General features: G+C 42.2%; 1 long non-coding RNA gene across 3 annotated transcripts in view, besides 2 other annotated features; it reads right to left on the bottom strand.

Annotated features, from left to right (window-relative positions):
• The window catches only part of LOC101930100 (uncharacterized), a 44,165-nt gene that overhangs the window by 12,007 nt on the left and 4,343 nt on the right, over positions 1–27,815 (bottom strand). For 2 of the 3 annotated variants that reach the window (NR_188301.1, NR_188303.1), the window contains exon 3: positions 25,916–25,975. The exons of the other annotated variant lie outside the window; for it this stretch is intronic. This is a non-coding gene — a long non-coding RNA (uncharacterized LOC101930100). The remainder of the gene's footprint in view (positions 1–25,915; positions 25,976–27,815) is intronic. 3 annotated transcript variants of the gene reach the window in all.
• Positions 17,365–17,864: an enhancer, noted in NCBI's record as "H3K4me1 hESC enhancer chr21:10178175-10178674 (GRCh37/hg19 assembly coordinates)". NCBI's record gives its function as "activates a minimal SCP1, AML or CMV promoter by ChIP-STARR-seq in primed H9 embryonic stem cells {active_cell/tissue: H9 hESC(primed)}" and the evidence as "EXISTENCE:reporter gene assay evidence [ECO:0000049][PMID:30033119]".
• Positions 17,865–18,366: an enhancer, noted in NCBI's record as "H3K4me1 hESC enhancer chr21:10177673-10178174 (GRCh37/hg19 assembly coordinates)". NCBI's record gives its function as "activates a minimal SCP1, AML or CMV promoter by ChIP-STARR-seq in primed H9 embryonic stem cells {active_cell/tissue: H9 hESC(primed)}" and the evidence as "EXISTENCE:reporter gene assay evidence [ECO:0000049][PMID:30033119]".

Raw genomic sequence — 27,815 nt, 5'->3', positions numbered from 1 at the left:
GCCACCGCACCCGGCCTCTCTTCAATTCTATGAAGACTTAGAGTGGTGAGGCAGCTGCAGAAGGAAAGTCTGAAGCTAGAAGAGCTTGTTTCTTGAGGTTTAAGGAAAAAAGTCATCTCCATAACATAAAAGCGCAAGATAAAGCAGCAAGTACTGATGGAAAAGCTGCAGAAAGCTATCTAGAAGATAACTGATTAAGATGGCAACACTAAATAGATTTGCAATGGAGACAAAACAGCCTTCTACTAGAAGGAGATGCCATCTAGGATGTTCCCAGCTAGAGAGGAGTTGATGCCTGGCTTTAAGGCTTCAAAGGACATGCTGACTCTTTTGTTAAGGGCTAATGCAGTTGGTGATGTTAACTTGAAACCAATGATGATTTACTATTCTGAAAATCCAAGGGCCCTGAAGAATTATGATAAAACACAGCTCTGTCTGTACTCTACAAATGGGAACAAAGCCTGGATGACAGACTATCGGCTTACAAATATGGTTTACTGAATATCTGAAGCCCACTGTTGACACCTACTGCTCAAGAAATAAGATTCCTTTCAAAGTATTACCGCTCACTGACAATGCCCCTGGTACTCAAGGGCTTTTACAGAGATGTACAAAGAGCTGAATATTGTTTTCATGCCTACTAACCCAACATTCATTCTGGTGCCCTTGGATCAAAGAATAATTTCAACTTTCAAGTCTTATCACTTAAAAATATATTTCATAAAGCTATAACTTCTCTAGAAAGTGATTCCTTTGATGGATCTGGGCAAAATAATTGAAAACCTACTGGAAAGGATTCACCATTCTAGATGTCATTGAGAACATTCATGATTTAAAAAATAAGATCAAAATAGCAACATTAGGAGAAGTTGGGGCCGGGCGTGGTGGCTCACACTTGTAATCCCAGCATGTTGGCAGGCCAAGGCACGTGGGTCACGAGGTCAGGAATTTGAGACCAGCCTGGCCAACATAGTGAAATCCTGTCTGTACTAAAAACACACAAAAAATTAGCTGGGCCTGGTCGGGGGTGACTGTAATCCCAAACACTTGGGAGGCTGAGGCAGAATTGCTTGAACCTGGGAGGTGGAGGTTGCAGTGAGCTGGGATCGCATCACTGCACTCCAGCCCAGGCAAGACTTCATCTCAAAAAAAAAAAAAGAGAGAGAGAGAGAGAGAGAAGTTGGGAAGATTATTCCAACCCTCACAGATGACACAGGGGTTCACGACTTCTGTGGAGGAGGTAACTGCAGATATGGTGGAAATAACAAGAGCACTAGAATCAGAGACAGAGCCTGAAGATCTGGCGAGACTGCAGCAGCCTCCGGAGAAAACGTGAGTGGATGAGTTGCTTCCAAGGATGAGCAAAGAAAGTGGTTTCTTGAGATGAAATCTACTCGTGGTGAAGACAGTGTAAACAATGTTGAGATGACAACAGATTTAGAATAAACTTAGTTGGTACAGCAGAAGGAGGGCTTGACAGGATTGACACAATGATTTACAATAATACATAAACTTAGTTGGTACAGCTGTACGAAGGTTTGACAGGATTGAATCCAATTTGAAAGTTCTACTGTGGGTAAAAAGCTATCAAACAACATCGTATGCTACAGATAATTCTTTTGTGAAAGGGAGAGTCAATTGACACAGCAAACTTCAATGGTGTCTTATTTTAAGAAATTGCCACAGCCACCCCAACGCTCAGCAACCACCACCTTACATTAAGGCAAGACCCTCCATCAGCAAGAAGACTGAAACTTGGCCAGGTGCAGTGGCTCACACCTGTCATCCCAACACCTTGGGAGGCCAAGGTGGGTAGATTGCTTGAGCCCAGGAAGTCAAGGCAACATGGCAAAACCCCATCTCTACAAAAAAAAAAAAATACAAAAATTAGCTGGTCATGGTGGCATGTATCTGTAGTTCCAGCTAGTCAGGAGTCTGAGGTGGGGGTTTGATTGAGCATGAGGTTGAGACTGCAATTACTCTAGCCTGAGCCACAGAGTAAAACCCTGTCACACACACAAAAAAAGATTGCAGCTTTCTGAAGGCTCAGATGACTGTTAGCACTTGTTAACAATAAAGTATTTGTAAATTAAAGTGTGAACACTTTGTAGACATATGCTATTGCACACTTTATACAGCACAGTATAAACATACTTTTACATGCACTGGAAAACCAAAAGAAATTGTATAACTCACTTTATTGCAGTGGTCTGGAACCAAACCCACATATATCTCTGATGCATGGCCGTCCTGTATTGTACACTTAAAATAAAACTTAAGAGGGTATATTTTAGGTGAAATGGTCATCTCATTTTTTTTTTTGAGACGGAGTCTCACTCTGTTGCCCAGGCTGGAGTGCAGTGGCACGATCTCAGCTCACTGCAAGCTCTGCCTCCCGAGTTCATACCACTATCCTGCCTCAGTCTCCCAAGTAGCTGGGACTACAGGTGCCCGCCATCACGCCCAGCTAATTTTCTGTATTTTTAGTAGAAACGGGGTTTCACTGTGTTAGCCAGGATGGTCTTGATCTCCTGACCTCGTGATCCACCCGCCTCGGCCTCGCAAAATGCTGGGATTACAGGCGTGAGCCACCACTCCCGGTCTCATTTTTTAAAAAGGGTCAGAATGAGAAATATATGGGGAGTGATGGTCAAGTTTACGGCATTATTTGTTGTGATGAGTCCTGGGGCGAATACTTATCTCTAAACTCATTAAGATGTATATATTCGGTGTCACACGCCTGTAATCCCAGCACTTTGGGAGACAAAGGCAGGTGGATCATCTGAGGTCAGGAGTTCGAGACCAGCCTGGCCAACATGGTGAAACCCTGTCTGTACTAAAAAAATACAAAAATTAGCCGGGTGTCGGGGCGCACGCCTGCGATCCCAGCTACTCAGGAGGCTGAGGCAGGAGAATTGCTTGAACCCGGGAGGTGGAGGTTGCAGCTAGCTGAGATCGTGTCACTGCACTCCAGCCTGGGCAACAAGAGTAAAACCTCCGTAACACACACACACACACACACACACACACACACACACAAAGGTATATATTAAATATGTGTAATTTTTGTATGTCAACCACACCTTAGTTTTATTTTATTTTATTTTATTTGAGACAGAGTCTCGCTCTGTCACCCAGGCTGGAGTCCAGTGGTGCAATCTCAGCTCACTGCAAGCTCCACCTCCCAGGTTCACACCATTCTCCTGCCTCAACTTCCGGAGTATCTGGAACTACAGGCACCCGCCACCACGTCCGGCTAATTTTTTGTATTTTTAGTAGAGATGGCATTTCACCGTGTTAGCCCGGATGGTCTCGATCTCCTAACGTGATCTGCCTGCCTCAGCTTCCCAAAATGCTGCGATTACAGGTGTGAGCCACCGTGCCCAGACAATTTTTTTTTGAGTCAGAGTCTCACTCTGTCACCAAGGCTGGAGTGCAGTGGCACTATCTTGGCTCACTGCAACCTCTGCCTCCCATGTTCAAGCAATTCTGCTGCCTCAGTCTCCTGAGTAGCTGGGACTACAGATGCATGCTATCACGCCTGGCTAATTTTTTGATTTTTAATAGAGATGAGGTTTCACCATGTTGGCCAGGCTGGTCTCAAACTCCTGACCTCATGTGATCTGCCCACCTCAGCCTCCCAAAGTGCTGGGATTACAGGTGTAAGCCACTGCACCCGGCAATTTTTAAATATATATAATTAAAAATTAATTAAAAAAGGTATTTGCAAGTTTCCGTTTTGTTATATACTTATTATTCTTTATCTTTATGTCAGGTTGCTGTGTCAATACACTTAGGAGATCATAGTTTCTAAATTGAAATACAAATAAATATGTCTCAAATTTTTTCTTTTTTCTTTTTTTTTTGAGATGGACTCATTCTGTCACCCAGGCTGGAGTGCAGTGGTGCAATCTCAGCTCACTGCAACCTCCGCCTCCCAGATTCAAGTGATTCTCCTGCCTCAGCCTCCAGAGTAGCTGGGATTACAGGCACCCGCCATGACACTCAGCTAGCTTTTATATATTTTTTTTCTATTTTTAGTAAAGACAGGGTTTCACCATGTTGGCCAGGCTGGTCTCCAACTCCTGACCTCAGATGATCCTCCCACCTCGGCCTCCTCAAGTGCTGGGACTACAGGTGTGAGCCACTGTGCCTGGCCTGGAATTTTTTTCTAAAATTTACATTTCTGAGTTAAGAATGCTTAAAATATTATAAAAACAGAAGCACAATTCATTATGTGTTTCATTAATTACCTCTATTAAAAACAACACAATTATATTACAATAGGACAAAAAAAAATGTTTAAGCAAATGAAAACAAAACCATGACATACCCAAACTCAGGAGGAGGCAACAAAGGCAGTGCTAAAGGGAAGCTTACAGCCACAGATGCTTAAATTAAAAAGAAGAAAGATCTCAAAGCCATGCTAAAGGGAAGCTTATAGCTGCAGGTGATCAAATTAAAAAGAAGAAAGATCTCAAATCAATAACCTAACATTACACCTAAAGGGAAAAAAAAAAAAACTAATGACAAACCAAGCAAAAGGAAGAAAATAACAGATTAGAACAGAGATAAGCAGAATAAGACCAGAAAAAAAGGAAAAAAAAAACCACTGAGTTTGTTTTTTTAAAGATCAATAAAAATTTTAAAACTCACAGCTATATTAAGAAAAAAAGAGAAATCTCAAATACTAAAATCATAAATAAAAGAGGTGACAGTACAACAGATTCCACAGAAATGAAAAAGATTACAAGAGACTAATGTGAGCAACCATATGCCACAGAACTGGGCAACCTAGAATAAATTTATAAATTCCTAGAAACACAAACCACCATACTGCATCATGGAGAAATAAAAAATCCAAAGAGACCTGTAACTAGTAAGAAGATTCAACCAGTAATCAAAAACCCCCCAAAAAAGAAAATTCCAGGTCCAGATAACTTCACTGGAAAATTTTACCAAACATTTCAAGAAGAATTAATGCCAGCCCTTTGTAAAATATTCCAAAAATGTTCAAAAACCAGAAGGGGACATTCCAATCCACTCTATCAGGTCAACATTTATCTGGTTCCAGAGCCAGATGAACACCTTTTGTAATAAAAACACTCAAAGAATTAGTAATATATGGAAACTCCTCAGTAAATAAAGATTATACATGAAAAGCTCACAGCTAACATCATACTGAATGGTGAAAAACTAAAATCTTTTCCTCTAGGATCAGGAATAAGATAGCAACATCTCTTCCTGCCACTTCTATTCACCACAGTACTGGAATTTCTACTCAGAATAATTAGGCAAGAGAAAGTAATAAAAAGCATGCAAATTGGAAAGGAAAAAGTACAAAATTTTGTTCACAGACAACATGATGTAATGTGTAAAAATCCTGAAATTCCACAAAATACTGGTAGAATAATGAAATTCAACAAAGTTTCAGGATACAGTAACACACACAAGTCAGTTCCATTTCTATAAACTAACAATGAACAATCTGCAAATAAAATTTTAAAAAGAGGCCAGGTGCAGTGGCTCACAGTTGTAATCCCAGCACTTTGGAAGGCCAAGGCGGGTGGACCACCTGAGGTCAGGAGTTCGTGACCAGCTGGGTCAACCCCATCTCTAATATAAATAGTAAAACTCTATCGCTATTAAAAATACAAAAATTAGCTGGGCATAGTGGCAGACACCTGTAGTCCCAGCTACTTGGGAGGCTGAGGCAGGAGAATTGCTTGAACTTGGAAGGTGGAGGTTGCAGTCAGCTGAGACTGTGCCACTGTGCTCCAGCTTAGGAAACAGAGTGAGACACCGTCTCAAAAAAAAAGAAAGAAAGGAAAGAAAGAGAGAGAAAGAAAAGAAAAGAAAGAGAAAACAAAAGAAAAGAAATTTTTAAAAAGAATGACATTTGGCTGGGTGCAGTGGTTCATGCCTGCAATCCCAGCAGTTTGGGAGGCCGAGGTGGGCAGATCACCTGAGGTCACAAGTTCAAGAATAGCCTGGTCAACATGGAGAAACACTGTCTCTACTAAAAATACCAAAAAGTTAGCTGGGCATGGTGGCGCGCACCTGTGATCCCAGGTACTTGAGAGGCTGAGGTTGGAGAATCGCTTGAATAAGGAAGGTGCAGGTTGCAGTGACCTGAGATAGTGCCACTGCACTCCAGCCTGGGAGACAGAGCAAGACTCCATCTCAAAAAAAAAAAATTATATTTACAACAGCATTATAAAAATTAGAAATAAGCTTAACCAAGAGGGCAAAAGATTTGAACACAGAAAACTACAAAACACTGTTAAAAGAAATTAAACACAAATAAATGAAAAGAAAAGCTGGGTTTGCAAATTAGATGATTTCATCTTGGAATGATGTCAACACTACTCGAAGTGACCTAGATTCAATACAATCCTTATAAAGATTCCAATGACATTTTTGATAAACAGAAAAACCTATCCTAAAACTCATATGGAATCTCCAGGGCCCATGAATAGGCAAATCAATCTTGAAACAGAACAAAATTAAACGTCTCAAAGCAATTACAAAACTGCAATAAGCCAAAAAGAAAAAATGTGGTCATGGCATAAAGACACTCTTGACACACTTATGGACCAACACAACAGAGACCTCAGAAACCAACCCTGGCATATATGGTCCGATGATCTTCCAGAAGGATGCCAAGACCACTCAATGGAAAAGCACAGTTTCTTCAACAAGTGATGATGGGAAAATTGTATAACTACATGCAAAACAATGAAGTTGGACTCTTACCTTACACCACGTTAAAATCAATTCAAAGTGAATTATAAACCTAAATGTAAAACTAGAACTATCAAACTCCTAGGGAAAACAAATTTGGAAAATGCTTTATGACGATGAATTTGTCAATAATTTTTAGGATATGACATTAAAAGCTCAGGCAGTAAAAGCAAAAATATATCAAACCTAAAAACTTCTGTACCTCAAAGGTCACAACCAACAGGGTAAAAGGCAAACTGTAAAATTAAAAAAAATACCAGTTGAGTGTCCCTTATTTGAAATGCTTGGGATGTGTTTCAGATTTTGTAATATTTGCACTATTCTTACTGGTTGAGGATCTCAAATTCAAACACCTGAGTCTGAGATGCTCCAATAAGCATTTCCTTTGAGTGTCATGTTGGCACTCAAAAAGTTTCAGACTTTGGAGCATTTGGGATTTCAGATTTTTGGATCAGAGACATTCAACCTATAGTTGCACATCATGTATCTCATAAGAAGTGAACATTCAGAATGCGTAAAGAACTCCTACAGAGAGACTACCAGAAGCAGAGAGGAGCAAACACATTTTCACACTAGGGAACCTGCTATCTCTCCTGGATTCCAATTAGGGCAGAGTAAGTGCTAGTTCTCTGCCAACCCAGGATTAGGCCCTGCAGCTGCAGTGAAAATAATCACAGAAGAAAACTAAGAAATAAAAAATGGAGAAAGTGAGACATCAAACTAGAATTACTAGAAACCCCCAGGAAGAAGGAAAAAAAATCCAAGAAAACAGAAAAACAATCAAACCAGTTAATTAAACCTTGGTGTGACCAGAAGATCAGGGTTTCCTAAAGGAGTGGAAATTTATTGACTTGAAGGCGATTTATTGATTACTGATTTGAAGAGGAAGAAAACCATGAATGGTCTAAAGCAAAAGCCTAGTGTCTGAAGAAGTCAGTAGGGTGAAAACAAGAGCTGACCAGAATATCCACAGATGGTGACAAGTTGGCAAAGCCTTTACTAGACTACTTGTGAAGCTAACTAGAGGCCAAGGAGCCAACACTGCCCCTGTCCTTACAGAGAGACCCTACACAGGATTCCCAGATATACATGGAAGGACAACATCTTATCAGGTCCTCTCTGTGCAGATGTGGTTATCATTCCAAATAATGAGCTCCAGCCCCAAGACTGTTCCATCCTCAATTGCTTTGAGTGGGCAATGTAGGCTCTCCACACACGAGCTACATGTAGGTTCCTTGGGTACCCAGATGGGAGCCGTGAAACATAAACCCTCCATGGTCAGGTCAATATCTGTTTCCTGCCTTTTTCCCAGCAATCCCCAGGCCTCAGCAGCAGTGGTCTACCTCTGCTGATTCTCATTCAGAATCTAAACTTAGAAACAATTAGAACCTAGACCCGAATTCTACCTGAAAGTAACAGAATAACATAATCTATACCCTGCAGCATGACTGTTTGCCCAACGTAATGAGGATGAACTGAGAGATAATGAATGATCATGACCCTGGCCCAAGTAACAAGAATGAACTGTGAGATAAATGAATGCTCATGACCAAAAAACCCAGCTACAACACAACAAAATAAAGTGATTAAAAAATGGACAAAGAACATTCATCCAAAGATGCAAAGATGATATACAAATAGCCAACAGATACATGAGATATATGAGAAGATGTGTAACATCACTAATCATTAGAGAAATGCAAATAGAAACCACAATGGGACATCACTTCAAACCCAACAGAAAGTAACAAGTGCAGGTGAAACTGAAACACTTGAACACTGTTGGTGGAAATATTAACTGGCTCCTCAAAAAAATAAAATAAAATGACCATATGATCCAGCCATCCAACTTCTACAGAGACAGAATAACTAGTAGCAGGACCTCAAACAGATATGTGTACACCTGTGTTCACAGGAGCATTACATAGCCACGAGGTGGAAGAAACCAAAACGTCCATCCAGGAATAGATGGATAAACAAAAGAATATACATATATATATATATAGAGAAAATATATATATATGAAGAAATATTATTCAGCCATAGAAAGGAAGAAAATCCTGACACATCTGCACATAACATGGAACCTACTTAAAAAACAAATATTATATAACCCTAGGTATATAAGCCAAATTTTTAGAAACACAAAGTAGAATAGTACTTGCCAGGAGGTGGAAGGAAGGGGAAATTAATAGTTGTTGAATGGGTATAGAGTTTTCTAAGATAAAAAAAAATCTAGAAATCTGCTACACAACAATGTAAATATTCTTAACTCTACAAAACTGTATACTTACAACTGGTTATGATGGTAAATTTTAAGGTATGTGTTTGTTACCAAAATTCGAAATTATAAATTATTTATAAAAAATGATCTTTTTTGACACACGGTCTTACTCTGTTGCCCTGGCAGGAGTGGAATGGCATGATCACAGCTCATTGCAGCCTCAACCTCCCAGGCTCAAGCAACCCTCCCACCTCAGCCTCCCAAATAGTTAGGACTACAGGTGCACACCAAGATGTCAGGCTAAATTTTGGTTTGGTTTTTTGTAGAGAGGGTTTTGCCATGTTGCCCAGGCTGGTCTCAAACTCCTGGGTTCAAGCAATCCACCTCCCTTGGACTCACACAGAGCTGAGATTATGAGCATAAGCCAACATGCCCAGCCTATAAAAAATTATTTCCAAAAGCCAAAAGATTAATCAAACTGGAATATTTAGAAATATTTAACCCAAAAGAAGTTAGGAAAGAATATATAGAAGATCAAAAGACAGACGAAGGCCAGGCATGGTGGCTCATGCCTGTAATCTGAACACTTTGGGAGGCCAAGGTGGGTAGATTGCTTGAGCTCAGTAGTTCAAGACCAGCCTGTGCAACATGGCAAAACCCTATCTCTACAAAAATATAAAAATTAGCCAGGTGTGGTGCCATGCACTTGTAGTCCCAGCTACTCAGGGGGCTCAAGTGAGGATTGGTTGGGCCTGGGAGGCAGAGGTTGCAGTGAGCCAAGATTGCACCATTGCACTACAGACTGGGTGACAGAACAAGACCCTGTCTTAAAAAAAATAAACAAACAAATAGAAAATAAGTAGAAAAATGGCAGACCTAAATCCAACCTTAGCAATGATTAGTTACAATGTAAGTGGACAAATACTCTACTTAAGACAGAGACTGCCAGACCTGAGAGGAAGGCAAGACCCAACAATATGGCATCCACAGAGACACAATTTAAACACAAAGACACAAAGTATGAGAAAAAATATGCTATGCAGATGCTAAACATAAAAATATGCTATCCAGACACTAATCATAAAAAGCTTCAACAGAGATGTTAACACTAGATGAAAGAGGCTTCAGAACAAAATATATCACCAGAAATAAACAGGGTAATTTAATAAAAATAAAAGAATCAGAGAGGATGATGTTACAATTATAAATTGTGCCTCAAAGTGCACACAAACTACACACACACACACAGAACCTCAAAGTATGTGAATCAAAAACAACAGAACAAAAGCAGGAAATTGACAATCCAAAATTATAGCTGGTGAATTAATACTGCTCTCTCAGTAACTGACGGAACAACCAGATAAAAATATAGGAAAAATACGGATCTAAATGACAAAATCCTGACCCAAATGGTACTTGGCAGTGCCAAGATAGACTGTATGTCGATGGATTGAGAAAAGGTTCAAGCCTGAAATAGTATACAAAGGATGTTGTCTGAACACTTGAAATTAAATTAGAAACCAACAACAAATTGATATCCAGAAAAGCCTCAAATGTCTGAAAACCAAGTAATAAACTTTGAAATACCCTGTGAGTCAAAAAAGTATTCACAAGGGGAACTGGAATGTATTTGGAATAAACTTGTTATAAAAATCTCATTTCTGGTAGACTAAAGGTGACAAATTCTTTCCTGCTCCTCTCTCTGTGAGAACCAATTCCCCTTAAACCTTGACCAGACTACTGACTTATTTGGCCAACAGAAGGTGACAAAGCTGGTATTTGGGGACTTCAGAAGCCAGGCTGAGAAAACAGAACACTTACCCAGGAGAAAGCCAGTCACCAGGCAGGAAATCCCACTCCCCTGAGACCTCATGATGGAAACCACAAGGCCAGTCCATGACTAGCTACACGCATTGACATCCCCCACTGAGCCTCCAGCAACACCGACTCCCAACAACTAGTGAGCCTCCAGCAACATCCACTCCCAACCACTAGTGAGCCACCCTGCACACCACCCCACTGTGCTTTCACACAATCCAGCTTGGCTGCAACTGTGTGTGAGATGAGCTGGCCACCAAGACTCTCTAAGCCAAAAAACAAGTAATAATGAGTTGTTTTACTTCAGAATAGATAACTGGAACAGAATATGGCAGCTGGAAATGAGCTGCTGTGGTAATCAGAAGCTACAATATGTGACACGACTGTGAGGCTGACCTGTAACTGGGCCTCAAGGAGACCATTCATGCAACCTGGAAGGGCATCAAGACTCTTGGTCAGGGCCTGAAGGACGGTGAGAAAATGTCATTGGAAACTGGAGAAAAGGTCTGAGAGTTACTTGCTGAGGGACTGTGGGAAAACTATGGCCACAACATGGAAACTGAAAGGGCACTGCACCATCTCAGGGATCTGCCTAAGGAGACATCTGGGAAGAACATGGAAAGTGCTACCAGCCTCCCCTAACTGTCACTGAATAAATATGACAGGAGAGGGACATGATCTAAAGAAGAAGGTTCAGTTTTCAAACAGAATTTAGAGAAAATATAAAGAAATAATTTCTTGTCTCAAAAGGCCAAAGTAAAAAAAAAGAAAAGAAAAGAAAAGGAAAAAAAATGAAAAAGAAGCCATTGAATACCCTATTGACCATAAGAAAAAGGCAGGGAAAGCTGGTCAACGGCAACCCAGGCACTGAAGGAAAAAGAACATGGAGAATGACAAAAGCCCAGAGGGAGGAGTAAAAGGACACAAACACCATTCTCAGGGACCAGGACTGGGCGCCGTTTTCAGGGACCAGGACTGGGCACTAATCACAGAACTGTAACAGGCGCCCCATGGGAATGACCAACTGTTAGACGGGGCCTGCAGGGCAGCACTTCCCTCTTGCCTCCCACCAAAGCTTCTAAAGGGAAATGTCGACTGTTTTCACAGCAGTCCCCTCACTGCGGCTAAGTTTGTGGGCTCAGATGATAGCTCACAACAACCTGATTCAGTCCCCACTGTGGCTGTGTGTGGGGGGTCAGATGACAGGCCACCACAACCTGATTCAGTCCTCACTGCAGCTGAGTGTGTGTGGGTGCAGATGACAAGCCACCACAACCTGATTCAGGATTCAGTTGGGCTACTAGCCAGTGCCATAAGGAAAACCATTCTGGGGCTCTTGAGAGGGGCAAAGCATAATTTGCATGTGGGAGAAACGTTAATAGTTTGTGGCCAGAGGACAAGCTGTGGTTTATTAAAGACTGCTGCAGGTTCCTACTATGCTTCTCATCAAGAGGTGGAATCTAATCACCTTTCCCCCTTGAATCATGGCTGGTCTCAGTGATGAGTACAACTGGACAGTGTGGCAGGAGAGATGCTCTGGGACTTCTGAGGGATGATCATGAGAGACCTTACAGCTTCTGCCTGGGCCTCTTGGACACACACCCTGGGAGAAGCCAGACAAACCTGACTACCTGATGCTACCAGACTGGAAGGAAGTCCGTGCTGGCCACAAAGAGAGGGCTGGGTGCCTGCTCCATGTCCCCAGCCACTAGAGTCCTTCTGGGTGCCTGCTTCACATCTCCAGCCACTAGAGTCCTTCCAGATGAGACCAGGGACATCATGAAGCAACCAACCCACACCGCTCTGTCCAGTGTCTTGACCCAGAAAATTGTGACATGTAAAAAGAATAAATTCCTGGTTTAAGCCAGTAAGGTTATGGGTACATTGTTACATCTCAGATAATTAAAACCTTGAAAAACTCATGAGAGATCACAAGTAGAACCTTGATCTGAAACATGGCATGTGGCGATTTATATTGAGTATTAGGTTAAAAATGCAAGAATGGAGCATAGTTAATATTTTACATTAAAGCTAAAACCATAATTGCCTACTTAAAATTTTCAGTTAATTAGGTTGTCACTTTTTGTTCTTAACCAAGAAATCAACTAGTTTTAGTCCATAAACAGTTAGAACTGATGCACACATCCGTTTTTCCTTACTCATTTTAAACAGCTATCTGAAATAGGAAGTGTAATGTAATCTTTAAAGAATCTGAAAACATGACAGAAATGTTTAAACTATAAACATATATTGTATATGTTAGCATATTGTATACATTGTATATTAACATAAGCTAGAATCATTGACATAAATTTATATAAACAAAAGGTATAAAATATGATAATGTTCTTCTTGTTTTTTGTCTTTGCATATTTCTTTATTGGCCCTTGTCAAACGTGACCCACTAACTCCTGAATGCTTTGTCTCTCCCCATGGATTCCTAAGGATGTCACCACAGTGTTGGCCAGATGCACAGGTCACAGGGGACTGAACCTCATCACCCCACAAACATACCATTCAGGTTTTGCCAAGAATGACACTGTAAATGTAACAAAGCTTCTGTGCTTGTTAGTGAACACCAACTCAGCTCCTCTCCTGTATTCAGAAATCAGGATGAGATGAAAACAACAAGCAGGCCAGGCACGGTGGCTCAGGCCTGTAATCCCAGCACTTTGGGAGGCCGAGGTGGGCAGATCACCTGAGGTCGGGAGCTCGAGACCACCCTGATCAAAACAGAGAAACCCCATCTCTACTAAAAATACAAAATTAGCCAGGCGTGGTGGCAAATGCCTGTAATACCAGCTACTCAGGAGCTGAGGCAGGAGAATTGCTTGAACCCGGGAGGTGGAGGCTGCAGTGAGCCGGGATCACACCACTGCACTCTAGCCTGGGCAACAAGAGTGAAACTCTGTCTCAAAAGAAAAAAAATTAAAAATAAAAGAACAAGGAAACAAAAGTAACAAGGCTTGACACCAGATGAGCCTGAATCTAAGCAAGAAAAGCCCAGAAAAAATCCCATTTTGGGTCACTGGCTGCATGGTAGTAATACCATACACATAAGGGAAGAGAGGAGGATGTGGCTTTCACTTTGAATTTTTTTAGCTTAAGGTAACATTTGCGTAGCTACAAATAAGAATTCAACAGAGAGTTAAACCTATGATGGAAAGATTGAAGGGGTCCAAGCTGTAGAGAAACAGGACTGCAAACCACAAAGGGCAGAATCAGTCAAGGAGAGCTGCAGGGCGGGATGAACAGGGACCAATGGAACATTTGGACAAGCTGTTGAGAAGAAAGGAAAATTCAGAGAAAAAGAACTGTCAGTGAGGTCATAATAGGAACTGTTACAGTGAACTAAATATGGCCTGGGAAGGACTCTGTACTTCTAGATTTGAGTCCCTGTGGACAAACTGCAACCTAACTTAATAGGTAGAAAGACTGATAACCTAACTTTGGAGTATGCACCTGTAACTATAGCTGAGTCCTGGCCAATCCCAACAGCCAAACTTCTGCCACTCACACACTACTGAGTGTTCAGCTGTGTTCAAATAAGGCAAATGCTGAGCACTGTAACCAGTCCAGTTGTTTCTGGACCTCACTGCTGAGAACTGTAACGGACCCAGTTGCTTCTGGACCTCACTCCTCACTTCAGATTTCTGTACATCACGTTCCCTTTATTGTCTATAAATCTTCCACCATGTAGCTGTGCTGGAGTCTCACTGAATCTGCTGTGATTCTGGGGGCTGCCTGATTCGTGAATCATTCATTGCTCAATTAAGTTCCTTTAAATTTAATTCAGCTGAAGATTTTCTTTTAATAGATGGTGTCAGAAGTGGGATCTGTGGGAGCAGGACTGCTAGGGCCTCTGGAGCTATAGTGTGGTGAGCAGTGTTGCTAGGGCTTCTAATGACCCCCAGGAGTGCTGAGGTACAAGAAAGGCACCTGCAAGGACCGCTCTATGATGGCAGCAGTGGCCCATGTGGAGCAGTTGCTACGGAGACACTGGCTGCAGTGGGGAGGAGTGGCTGGGGCTGTGAACTCCTCAAAGTTAGTGGGAGCCAGGAACAGGTGAGAGACCCACCCCTTCTAAATTGGCAGGCAGGAGCCCCACCCTCCCAGGCACAGCTGCAGCCATCCACCCATGACAGCAAACCCGGGCATCTTTGCACTCTCAGAGGCCCAGCAAGCCCCCCTGCCCCCGTAGGCCCAGTCATACCTGCTCCCACCACCTGGCATGTCTCCGCTCCCAGAGCCCACTCCAACTTCGGATCCAAATTGAGGTTGAACCCAGGCACAGTCGCAACCCAGCCCAGTTTGTGCAAGCTCAGGGCAGTGCTGACATGCCAGCCCCCTGCCACCTCGGCCCCCTCCACACTTTGGGAACTGATGAGCACAGGAGGGACGTTGAGGTGGGGCTAAGAGTGGCTCAGCACTGGCTTGAAGGCACTCCTCAGCTCGAAAAGCCTGGGCACTGTGGGCATAGCTAACCACCATGCATCTCTCTCAGCTGCTGAGAGCTGAACAGACATTGGGATGACCTGCCTGCCGAAAGGAGCTACCCACTGCACGTCTCCTCTGAGCTGTACTGTTGCTCAATAAAGCACCTCTTCACCTTGCTCACCTTCTACTTGCCCACATACCTCATTCTTCCTGGACTCAGGACAAGAACTCGGGACCTGCCAACTAGCAGGGCTGAAAGAGGTGTAACATAAACAGGGCTGAAACGCACCCCTTGCTTGCCAAATTGCAGGCAAGAAGAAGAGAAGAGAGAAGGAGAGAAGAGCTGTGGCCCTTCAGGGAGCCCAGACCTAGGAGCTCCCCAAGCCAGGGCTGTGACACCTTATTTGGGGCTCTGCAGTTCCTGCATCTCGAAGCTTCCAGGCACCGCTGCATTCCCTGATACCCACAGTGGAAGCTGTTTGCAGTCAGCCTGGTCCAGCTGCAGCCTCACAGGGAGCTGGCACCTGTGGCGGTGCCTGGAGCTGCCCACCCCACTGCAGCTGGCATGCTTGGCTGTGTGCAGTGGCCAGATCCCATGCTCGCTTGCTCACACACCCTTCACTGCTCTGTACCCAGCTCACCCTTGGCAGGTGTGGGATCCAGACCACTAGCATGAGCCAAGTGGACAGAACGAACCCAGTGGGCCCGAGCAAAACACAGGTAAAGGCGCCACCAGCCAGAGGTTTCAGGCAGAAAAGTGACGCCTCAGGATTCTGTAACACTTGTGCCCTTTGACCTCTCAGAGCATCTGGGGATCGTGGTAAATTCTCTCTCGGATTTCAGAGCTCCATGAATTTGTGTTTTGAGCTGAGTTTCTCTGAGCAAATTTCTGTTCCAAACTGCTATCCAGCCATGACTGGCTGGATGTTTTAGAAGTTATGACAGAAACGGGACCGGGTCCAGGATCAGATTTGATCCAGTAATTAACTGGCTTGAATCCAGTTCCAGTTAGAGGCCTCCTACATCTGAATGGGTCAGAAGGAAAGTGGTAGTAAATGATAATATTGGAGGGTTGTAAAATTTGGCTTTTGGAAATTCACGGGGATTTTTGTGTTCTGCCCCTTTGTTTCATTTTCCTCACACGCTTAGGTAGGAAAAAAAATCATTGGCTAAGTCAATCAAGGGAACCTGAGAGTAAAGCCAATATATTAGGTAAAAATAGGATCCTTAATTTCTGGAAAACTAAGTTCTTTCTGGCTAATTCATTAGGCCTGGGAAGCAGCAAAGTCTTACAGAAATGGCAAAATCTTACTAAAGATAACTTATAGTGTAACATTCCAAATGAATAATGCCCTGAAGTGCATTTAAAAATGATGGCTCCCAAATTAGTCTCATCTAGGGATGCCTATTAACATGCAGAAGCTTCTAAAAAGATTTAGAGATGGCATGGCCTATCTGGGAGGAAGTTTGAGTCTTACCAGTTTGACACTGGGTGCTAAGCAAAGTGGCTCGTGGCTATGTTTTGTCACATATATTTTGCTCTGAGCAGAATGAAAAATGTTAATTTGGTTACTCCAAGCAACCCCTTGGGCAGCATCTTGCAAAGCTAAGTGGATTCTTCCTGTGGCTCCATGATTTCCATTGTGATGCAGCTTGGCCCCCAGAGCTATAATGTGGTGAGGAGGGTGACAGAGCAAGACGCTATCTTTAAAAAAAAATGGCCCGGGGCAGTGGCTCACAGCTGTAATCTCAACACTTGGGGAGGCCGAGGCAGGTGGATCACATGAGGTCAGGAGTTCAAGGCCAGCCTGACCAACAAGGAAAAACCCCGTCTCTACTAAAAACACAAAATTAGCTGGGCATGGTGGGGCATGCCTCTAATCCCAGCTACTCAGGAGGCTGGGGCCGGAGAATCACTTGAACCTGGGAGGCAGGGGGTTGCAGTAAACCGAGATCGCACCATTGCACTCCAGCTTGGGCAACAAGAGGGAAAATCCATCTCAAAAAAGAAAAGAATAATAGATTTGCCTGTAAGGTTTTATGAAAAAGTGGGTGACATTTGGCTTTCTCTCTTTAAAGAAGATTTTCAGAAAATATTAAAAAATAATGGGAGGAGGAGCCAAGATGGCCGAATAGGAACAGCTCCGGTCTACAGCTCCCAGCATGAGCGATGCAGAAGATGGGTGATTTCTGCATTTCCATTTGAGGTACTGGGTTCATCTCACTAGGGAGTGCCAGACAGTGGGTGCAGGACAGTGGGTGAAGTGCACTGTGCACTAGCCAAAGCAGGGCAAGGCATTGCCTCACTCGGGAAGTGCAAGGGGTCAGGAAGTTAGTTCCCTTTCCTGGTCAAGGAAAGGGGTGACAGATGGCACCTGGAAAATCGGGCCACTGCCACCCTAATACTGAGCTTTTCTGATGGGCTTAGGAAATGGCACACCACGAGATTATATCCCGCACCTGGCTCAGAAGGTCCTATGCCCATGGAGTCTCGATGATTGCTAACACAGCAGTCTGAGATCAAACTGCAAGGCAGCAGCGAGGCTGGGGGAGGGGCACCGGCCATTGCCCAGGCTCTCTTAGGTAAACAAAGCAGCCTGGAAGCTCGAACTGGGTGGAGCCCACCACAGCTCAAGGAGGCCTGCCTGCCTCTGCAGGCTCCACCTCTGGGGGCAGGACACAGACAAACAAAAAGACAGCAGTAACCTCTGCAGACTTAAATGTCCCTGTCTGACAGCTTTGAGGAGAGCAGTGGTTCTCCCAGCACACAGCTGGAGATCTGAGAATGGGCAGACTGCCTCCTCAAGTGGGTCCCTGACCCCTGACCCCCGAGCAGCCTAACTGGGAGGCGCCCCCTAGCAGGGGCAGACTGACACCTCACACGACCAGGTACTCCTCTGAGACAAAACTTCCAGAGGAACGATCAGACAGCAGCATTCACGGATCATGAAAATCCACGGTTTTGCAGACACCACTGCTGATACCCAGGCAAACAGGGTCGGGAATGGGCCTCTAGAAAACTCCAACAGACCTGAAACTGAGGGTACTGTCTGTTAGAAGGAAAACTAAAAAACAGAAAGGACATCCACACCAAGAACCCATGTGTACATCACCATCATCAAAGACCAAAAGTAGATAAAACCACAAAGATGGGGAAAAAACAGAACAGAAAAACTGGAAACTCTAAAAAGCAGAGCGCCTCTCCTCCTCCAAAGGAATGCAGTTCCTCACCAGCAACGGAACAAAGCTGGATGGAGAATGATTTTGACGAGCTGAGAGAAGGCTTCAGATGATCAAATTACTCTGAGCTATGGCAGGACATTCAAACCAAAGGCAAAGTTGAAAACTTTGAAAAAAATTTAGAAGAATGTATAACTAGAATAACCAATAGAGAGAATTTCTTAAAGGAGCTGATGGAGCTGAAAACGAAGGCTCGAGAACTACGTGAAGAATGCAGAAGCCTCAGGAGCCGATGCGATCAACTGGAAGAAAGGGTATCAGCGATGGAAGATGAAATGAATGAAATGAAATGAGAAGGGAAGTTTAGAGAAAAAAGAATAAAAAGAAATGAGCAAAGCCTCCAAGAAATATGGGACTATGTGAAAAGACCAAATCTACATCTGATTGGTGTACCTGAAAGTGATAGGGAGAATGGAACCAAGTTGGAAAACACTGCAGGACATTATCCAGGAGAACTTCCCCAATCTAGCAAGGCAGGCCAACATTCAGATTCAGAAAATACAGAGAACGCCACAAAGATACTCCTCGAGAAGAGCAACTCCAAGACACATAATTGTCAGATTCACCAAAGTTGAAATGAAGGAAAAAATGTTAAGGGCAGCCAGAGAGAAAGGTCGGGCTACCCTCAAAGGGAAGCCCATCAGACTAACAGCGGATCTCTCAGCAGAAACCCTACAAGCCAGAAGAGAGTGGGGGCCAATATTCAACATTCTTAAAGAAAAGAATTTTCAACCCAGAATTTCATATCCAGCCAAGCTAAGCTTCATAAGCAAAGGAGAAATAAAATACTTTACAGACAAGCAAATGCTGAGAGATTTTGTCACGACCAGGCCTGCCTTACAAGAGCTCCTGAAGGAAGCACTAAACATGGAAAGGATCAACTGGTACCAGCCGCTGCAAAATCATGCCAAAATGTAAACACCGTCGAGACTAGGAAGAAACTGCATTAACTAACGAGCAAAATAACCAGCTAACATCATAATGACAGGATCAAATTCACACATAACAATATTAACTTTAAATGTAAATGGACTAAATGCTCCAATTAAAAGACACAGACTGGCAAATTGGATAAAGAGTCAAGAACCATCAGTGTGCTGTATTCAGGAAACTCATCTCACGTGCAGAGACACACATAGGTTCAAAATAAAAGGATGGAGGAAGATCTACCAAGCAAATGGAAAACAAAAAAAGGCAGGGGTTGTAATCCTAGTCTCTGATAAAACAGACTTTAAACCAAGAAAGATCAAAAGAGACAAAGAAGGCCATTACATAATGGTAAAGGGATCAATTCAACAAGAAGAGCTAACTATCCTAAATATATATGCACCCAATACAGGAGCATGCAGATTCATAAAGCAAGTCCTGAGTGACCTACAAAGAGACTTAGACTCCCACACATTAATAATGGGAGACTTTAACACCCCACTGTCAACATTAGACAGATCAACAAGACAGGAAGTCAAAAAGCATACCCAGGAATTGAACTCAGCTCTACACCAAGCGGACCTAACAGACATCTCCAGAACTTTCCACCCCAAATCAACAGAATATACATGTTTTCAGCACCACACCACACCTATTCCAAAATTGACCACATACTTGGAAGTAAAGTTCTCCTCAGCAAATGTAAAAGAACAGAAATTATAAGAAACTATCTCTCAGATGACAGTGCAATCAAACTAGAACTCAAGATTAAGAATCTCACTCAAAACTGCTCAACTACATGGAAACTGAACAACCTGCTCCTGAATGACTACTGGGTACATAAGGAAATGAAGGCAGAAATAAAGATATTCTTTGAAACCAATGAGAACAAAGACACAACATACCAGAATCTCTGGGACGCATTCAAAGCACTGTGTAGAGGGAAATTTATAGCACTAAATGCCCACAAGGGAAAACAGGAAAGATCCAAAATTGACACCCTAACATCACAATTGAAAGAACTAGAAAAGCAAGAGCAAACACATTCAAAAGCTAGCAGAAGGCAAGAAATAACTAAAATCAGAGCAGAACTGAAGGAAATAGAGACACAAAATCCCTTCAAAAAATTAATGAATCCAGGAGCTGGTTTTTTGAAAGGATCAGCAAAATTGATAGACCTCTAGCAAGACTAATAAAGAAAAAAAGAGAGAAGAATCAAATAGACGCAATAAAAAATGATAATGCGGATATCACCACCAATCCCAGCAAAATACTAACTACCATCAGAGAATAATACAAACACCTCTACGCAAATAAACTAGAAAATCTAGAAGAAATGGATAAATTCCTCGACACATACACTCTCCGAAGACTAAACCAGGAAGTTGAATCTCTGAATAGACCAATAACAGGAGCCAAAATTGTGGCAATAATCAATAGCTTACCAACCAAAAAGAGTCCAGGACCAGATGGATTCACAGCCGAATTCTACCAGAGGTACAAGGAGGAACTGGTACCATTCCTTCTGAAACTATTCCAATCAACAGAAAAAGAGGGAATCCTCCCTAACTCATTTAATGAGGCCAGCATCATTCTGACACCAAAGCCAGGCAGAGACACAACCAAAAAAGAGAATTTTAGACCAATATCCTTGATGAACATTGATGCAAAAATCCTCAATAAAATACTGGCAAACCGAATCCATTAACACATCAAAAAGCTTATGCAACTTGATCAAGTGGGCTTCATCCCTGGGATGTAAGGCTGGTTCAATATACACAAATCAATAAATGTAATCCAGCATATAAACAGAGCCAAAAACAAAAACCACATGATTATCTCAATAGATTCAGAAAAGGCCTTTGACAAAATTCAACAATGCTTCATGCTAAAAACTCTCAATAAATTAGGTATTGATGGGACGCATTTCAAAATAATAAGAGCTATCTATGACAAACCCACAGCCAATATCATTCTGAATGGACAAAAACTGGAAGCATTCCCTTTGAAAACTGGCACAAGACAGGGATGGCCTCTCTCACCACTCCTATTCAACATAGTGTTGGAAGTTCTGGCCAGGGCAATTAGGCAGGAGAAGGAAATAAAGGGTATTCAATTAGGAAAAGAGGAAGTCAAATTGTCCCTGTTTGCAGACGACATGATTGTATATCTAGAAAACCTCATTGTCTCAGCCCAAAATCTCCTTAAGCTGATAAGCAACTTCAGCAAAGTCTCAGGATACAAAATCAATGTACAAAAATCACAAGCATTCTTATACACCAACAACAGACAAACAGAGAGCCAAATCATGAGTGAACTCCCATTCACAATTGCTTCAAAGAGAATAAAATACCTAGGAATCCAACTTACAAGGGATGTGAAGGACCTCTTCAAGGAGAACTACAAACCACTGCTCAAGGAAATAAAAAAGGATAAAAACAAATGGAAGAACATTCCATGCCCATGGGTAGGAAGAATCAATATCTTGAAAATGGCCATACTGCCCAAGGTAATTTACAGATTCAATGCCATCCCCATCAAGCTACCAATGACTTTCTTCACAGAATTGGAAAAAACTACTTTAAAGTTCATATGGAACCAAAAAAGAGCCCACATCGCCAAGTCAATCCTAAGCCAAAAGAACAAAGCTGGAGGCATCACACTACCTGATTTCAAATTATACTACAAGGCTACAGTAACCAAAACAGCATGGTACTGGTACCAAAACAGAGATATAGATCAATGGAACAGAACAGAGCCCTCAGAAATAATGCCACATATCTACAACTATCTGATCTTTGACAAACCTGAGAAAAACAAGAAATGGGGAAAGGATTCCCTATTTAATAAATGGTGCTGGGAAAACTGGCTAGCCATATGTAAAAAGCTGAAACTGGATCCCTTCCTTACACCTTATACAAAAATCAATTCAAGATGGATTAAAGACTTAAACGTTAGACCTAAAACCATAAAAACCCTAGAAGAAAACCTAGGCATTACCATTCAGGACATAGGCATGGGCAAGGACTTCATGTCTAAAACACCAAAAGCAATGGCAACAAATGCCAAAATTGACAAATGGGATCTTATTAAACTAAAGAACTTCTGCACAGCAAAAGAAACCACCATCAGAGTGAACAGGCAACCTACAAAACGGCAGAAAATTTTCGCAACCTACTCATCTGACAAAGGGCTAATATCCAGAATCTACAATGAACTCAAACAAATTTACAAGAAAAAAACAAACAATCCCATCAAAAAGTGGGCGAAGGACATGAACAGACACTTCTCAAAAGAAGACATTTATGCAGCCAAAAAACACATGAAAAAATGCTCATCATCACTGGCCATCAGAGAAATGCAAATGAAAACCACAATGAGATACCATCTCACACCAGTTAGAATGGCAATCATTAAAAAGTCAGAAAACAACAGGTGCTGGAGAGGACGTGGAGAAATAGGAACACTTTTACACTGTTGGTGGGACTGTAAACTAGTTCAATCATTGTGGAAGTCAGTGTGGCGATTCCTCAGGGATCTAGAACTGGAAATGCCATTTGACCCAGCCATCCCATTACTGGGTATATACCCAATGGACTATAAATCATGCTGCTATAAAGACACATGCACACGTAGGTTTATTGCGGCATTATTCACAATAGCAAAGACTTGGAACCAACCCAAATGTCCAACAATGATAGACTGGATTAAGAAAATGTGGCACATATACACCATGGAATACTATGCAGCCATAAAAAATGATGAGTTCATGTCCTTTGTAGGGACATGGATGAAATTGGAAATCATCATTCTCAGTAAACTATTGCAAGAACGTAAAGCCAAACACTGCATATTCTCACTCATAGGTGGGAATTGAACAATGAGATCACATGGACACAGGAAGGGGAATATCACACTCTGGGGACTGTTGTGGTGTGGGGGGAGGGGGGAGGGATAGCATTGGGAGATATACCTAATGCTAGATGACGAGTTAGTGGGTGCAGCACACCAGCATGGCAGATGTATACATATGTAACTAACCTGCACAATGTGCACATGTACCCTAAAACTAAAAGTATAATAAAAAATAAAAATAAAAAAATAATAAAAATTTTTTGTCATGATTTTTGGTAAATGAATGACTTACGGTGACGTGGAATTCTATTTCATAACATCAAGTGTTTAAACCTTTAATATATTTAATAGGCTTCCCAAAATCAAATTTCAACTTCAAAATTGTCTTTTCTGACCTCTAATTTTGGGATACTACAGAGACCCCTGAAGCACCCAAAAGAGAGGTAAACAGGACTATTTAACATGTTAAGTCACATGGGTAGCACTGTCAAAATAAAAAATAATGTGGAACCTTCCTCAGGTTATATTTAGTGTGTGTCATCAATCCATTCTAAAATTGTGTAGGATTTCTAAAATTCTTGTATTTTTTTTTTTTCTGAGATGGAGTCTTGCTCTGTCACCCAGGCTGGAGTACAGTGGCGCAATCTCGGCTCACTGCAACTTCCGCCTCCCGGGTTCATGCCATTCTCCTGCCTCAGCCTCCCGAGTAGCTGGGACTACAGGCACCCACCACCATGCCAGGCTAATTTTTGTATTTTTAGTAAAGATGGATTTCACCGTGTTAGCCAGGATGGTCACGATCTCCTGACCTCATGATCCTTCCACCTCGGCCTCCCAAAGTGCTGGGATTACAGGCATGAGCCACCACATCCACCCTAATTATGGTTATTAAGTTATTGTAGACCACAGAAATAACCAAATTTCCTTGTCAATTGTCTTTAACTATAACTAAAGTCATTTCACAGTTAATTGCTTAATAGTGATGCAGTTTCTAAAAACTTCACAAGCATGCAAAATTCTAGAGTATGGTGTCTCTTAGAAGATTCATGAAAGAATGAAAATGACCCTGAAAAACACTCGTGAACACAGATTTCTAATAACTTTAATATCATGGGTAAAAATTCCCCATAAGTTCCCCGATACCCCAAGAATTGGACTGGCTAAGAATTCTCAACAGTTAGGCTGGGTGCAGCGGCTCATGTCGGCAATCCCAGCACTTTAGGAGGCCAAGGCCGGTGGATCACTTGAGGTCAGGAGTTTGAGACCAGCCTGGCCAAAGGTGAAACCCCACCTCTACTAAAAATACAAAAATTAGCTGGGTGTGGTGGTATGTGCCTGTAATCCCAGCTACTCGGGAGGCTGTGGCAAGAGAATTGCTTGAGCCCAGGAGGCAGAGGTTGCAGTGAGCCAAGATTGTGCCACTGCACTCCAACCTAGGTAACAGAGTGAGACTCTGTCTCAAAAAAAAAAATATCAAAAATTTAATAAAAAGACCAACTGGTTTGTAAAACTGCTAACCCAAGTAAAACAAAAATTGTATACCAAGGAAATATTATGCCACATTTTCATGCTAAATCACCAATATTGAAATTGTTTAGATATATAATTTAAATAAACTCCATGGTCTAAATCAAATTACCTATAACTACTCATCAGTTACCAGTGCCATGCACCTAATTTGGAGAAACAGCTGGTATTCAAGAGGATGTAAGTCTGATGTTAATTAAGCACAGACCTATAAAGAACCAGGATGGCCACCTTATCCTTCTTAAGTCCTAAAAACTTTTGTTATTAAAAGTTCTGCATTCCATAACTCATCACAGAAAGAGAAAACGATCCAAATTAAATATATTGGTGTGGTGATTTCTAAACTGCTAAAATAGTTTATAACCAATGTTTGGTTTGTGAAACCTATATTCCTAGGAAAACAATCAAAACTTTAGGTACATTTGGTTATCTGATGGGCCATTTAAACATTTTATAAAGGGATTTCATTCAGTTGTCATTTTCAGTGCATGTTTTCTGATTGTATAAAAGCTCTTCCATGCGAGAGAGTTGATGTTAAAACAGTAGATTATTACCCTGAAGTGTATTTTCACCAGGTAAAGAAAGCCTTTTATGGTTCACTGAGGACAGTCAAACCCTTCAAAATCTAGAATCTGATGACTGGATCTTCTGAGAACATCAGAGAAGGACTGCCCTCGCCATCCACATGACAACAAAACTTTAAAACCTTAAACTTTGGGTTCATAGTCTCACAACTCAGAAGGGTCCCTCCACACTCAGAACCATATGCCTATTGGAACCCTTAAGGTAAAGCTAACACGGACAGTTCCCCCCAGAAGAAGATGGCATCCTTAATGTGAACAGCTTTTCCCAAGATCACAGATCAAGACTTCTCTACTATCATGAGACTCTTATCTTAAGTATCTGTGCAGCTGCTAACACTTACAGCATGTGGAGAAAACATGGGGTATTATAAAGATTTGGTTGTAGGGAATTAACAAAAAAAAACCACTTAGTTAAGCAAGTAAACCCTTTATCTAATTCATTCTTTAATCTATTTGATTTTTGGTGGTTTGATTTATGGGGACCCTGAGTAAGGAGCATATACCACATCTTGGTGTTATCCCAATAGTCATAAGAGTCTCCCTGGTGTACTGTACTTACTCAAATGTTTCAAGAGTTTGCATGCAGCCATCTCTAAAATGTCAAATGGTATCTCTTCAACTGGAATGACAAGAGATTAAAAAAAATGTGCAACCATAAGGCCACCATAACCTATGAGTGACATGCTAAACTGGAAACCCAAAACAATGGGAGTGACATGCTAAACCAGAAACCCAAAACAATGGGAGTGACTTGCTAAAACTGGAACCCAAAACAATGGGAGTGACGTGCTAAAACCGGAAACGAAAACAATGGGAGTGATGTGCTTAAACTGGAACCCAAAACAATGGGAGTGACCTGCAAAACCAGAAACCCAAACAATGGGAGTGAGGTGCTAAAACCAGAACCCTAAACAACGGGAGTGATGTGCTTAAACCAGAACCAAAAACAATGGGAGTGACCTGCTAAACCAGAAATCCAAAACAATGGGAGTGATGTGCTAAAACCGGAACCCAAAACAATGGGAGTGATGTGCTTAAACCGGAACCCAAAACAATGGTAGTGACCCGCTAAAGCAGAAACCCAAAACAATGGGAGTGTCCTGCTAAACCAGAAACCCAAAACAATGGGAGTGACGTGTAAAACCAGAAACCCAAAACAATGGGAGCGTCCTGCTAAACCAGAAACCCAAAACAATGAGAGTGACATGATAAACCAGAAACCCAAAACAATGGGAGTGACGTGCTAAAACCTGGAAACCCAAAACAATGGGAGTGAGGTGCTAAAACCAGATACACAAAACAATGGGAGTGACATGCTAAAACCAGATACCCAAAACAATGGGAGTGATGTGCTAAAACCTGAACCCAAAACAATGGGAATGACGTGCTAAACCGGAACCCAAAACAATGGGAGTGACGTGCTAAAACCGGAACCCAAAACAATGGGAGTGACATGCTAAAACCAGAAACCCAAAACAATGGGAGGGTCCTGCTAAACCAGAAACCCAAAACAATGGGAGTGAAGTGCTAAAACCAGAAACCCAAAACAATGGGAGTGTCCTGCTACACCAGAAACCCAAAACGATGGGAGTGACGTGATAAAACCAGACACCCAAAACAATGGGAGTGACGTGCTAAACCAGAAACCCAAAACAATGGGAGTGACGTGCTAAAACCTGGAAACCCAAAACAATGGGAGTGAGGTGCTAAAACCAGAACCCAAAACAATGTGAGTGACGTGCTAAACCAGAACCCAAAACAATGGGAGTGACGTGCTAAAACAGGAACCCAAAACAATGAGAGTGACGTGCTAAACCAGAAACCCAAAACAATGGGAATGACGTGCTAAAACCGGAACCCAAAACAATGGGAGTGATGTGCTAAACCAGAAACCCAAAACAATGGGAATGACATGCTAAAACTGGAACCCAAAACAATGGTAACTAAGAGTGATGCTAAGGCCCTACATTTTGGTCACACTCTCAACTAAGTGAGAACTTGACTGAAAAGGAGGATTTTTTTTTTCTAAGACAGAGTTTTGGTCTGTCCCCCAGAGTGGAGTGCAGTGGCATGATCTTGGCTCACTGCAAGCTCTGCCTCCCGGGTTCAGGCCATTCTCCTGCCTCAGCCTCCTGAGTAGCTGGGAATACAGGCACCCGCCACCACACTTGGCTAATTTTTTGTATTTTTAGTAGAGATGGGGTTTCACCATATTAGCAAGGATGGTCTCAATCTCCTGACCTCGTGATCTGCCCACCTCAGGCTCCCAAAGTGCTGGGATTACAGGTGTGAGCCACCACACCCAGCAAAAAGGAGGAATTTTTAAAGCAAAATTATGGGAGGCCATTGTTTTGAACTAAGCTCATGCAATAGGTCCCAACAGACCAAACCAAACCAAACCAAAATGGAGTCACTCATGCTAAATGTAACATAATCAAACTAAGACTTTAGGGAAACAC

This window comes from Homo sapiens, chromosome 21 (genome assembly GCF_000001405.40).
Source record: "Homo sapiens chromosome 21, GRCh38.p14 Primary Assembly".
Lineage (NCBI taxonomy): Eukaryota > Metazoa > Chordata > Mammalia > Primates > Hominidae > Homo > Homo sapiens.
This window is presented reverse-complemented; position numbering and strand designations above follow the sequence as displayed.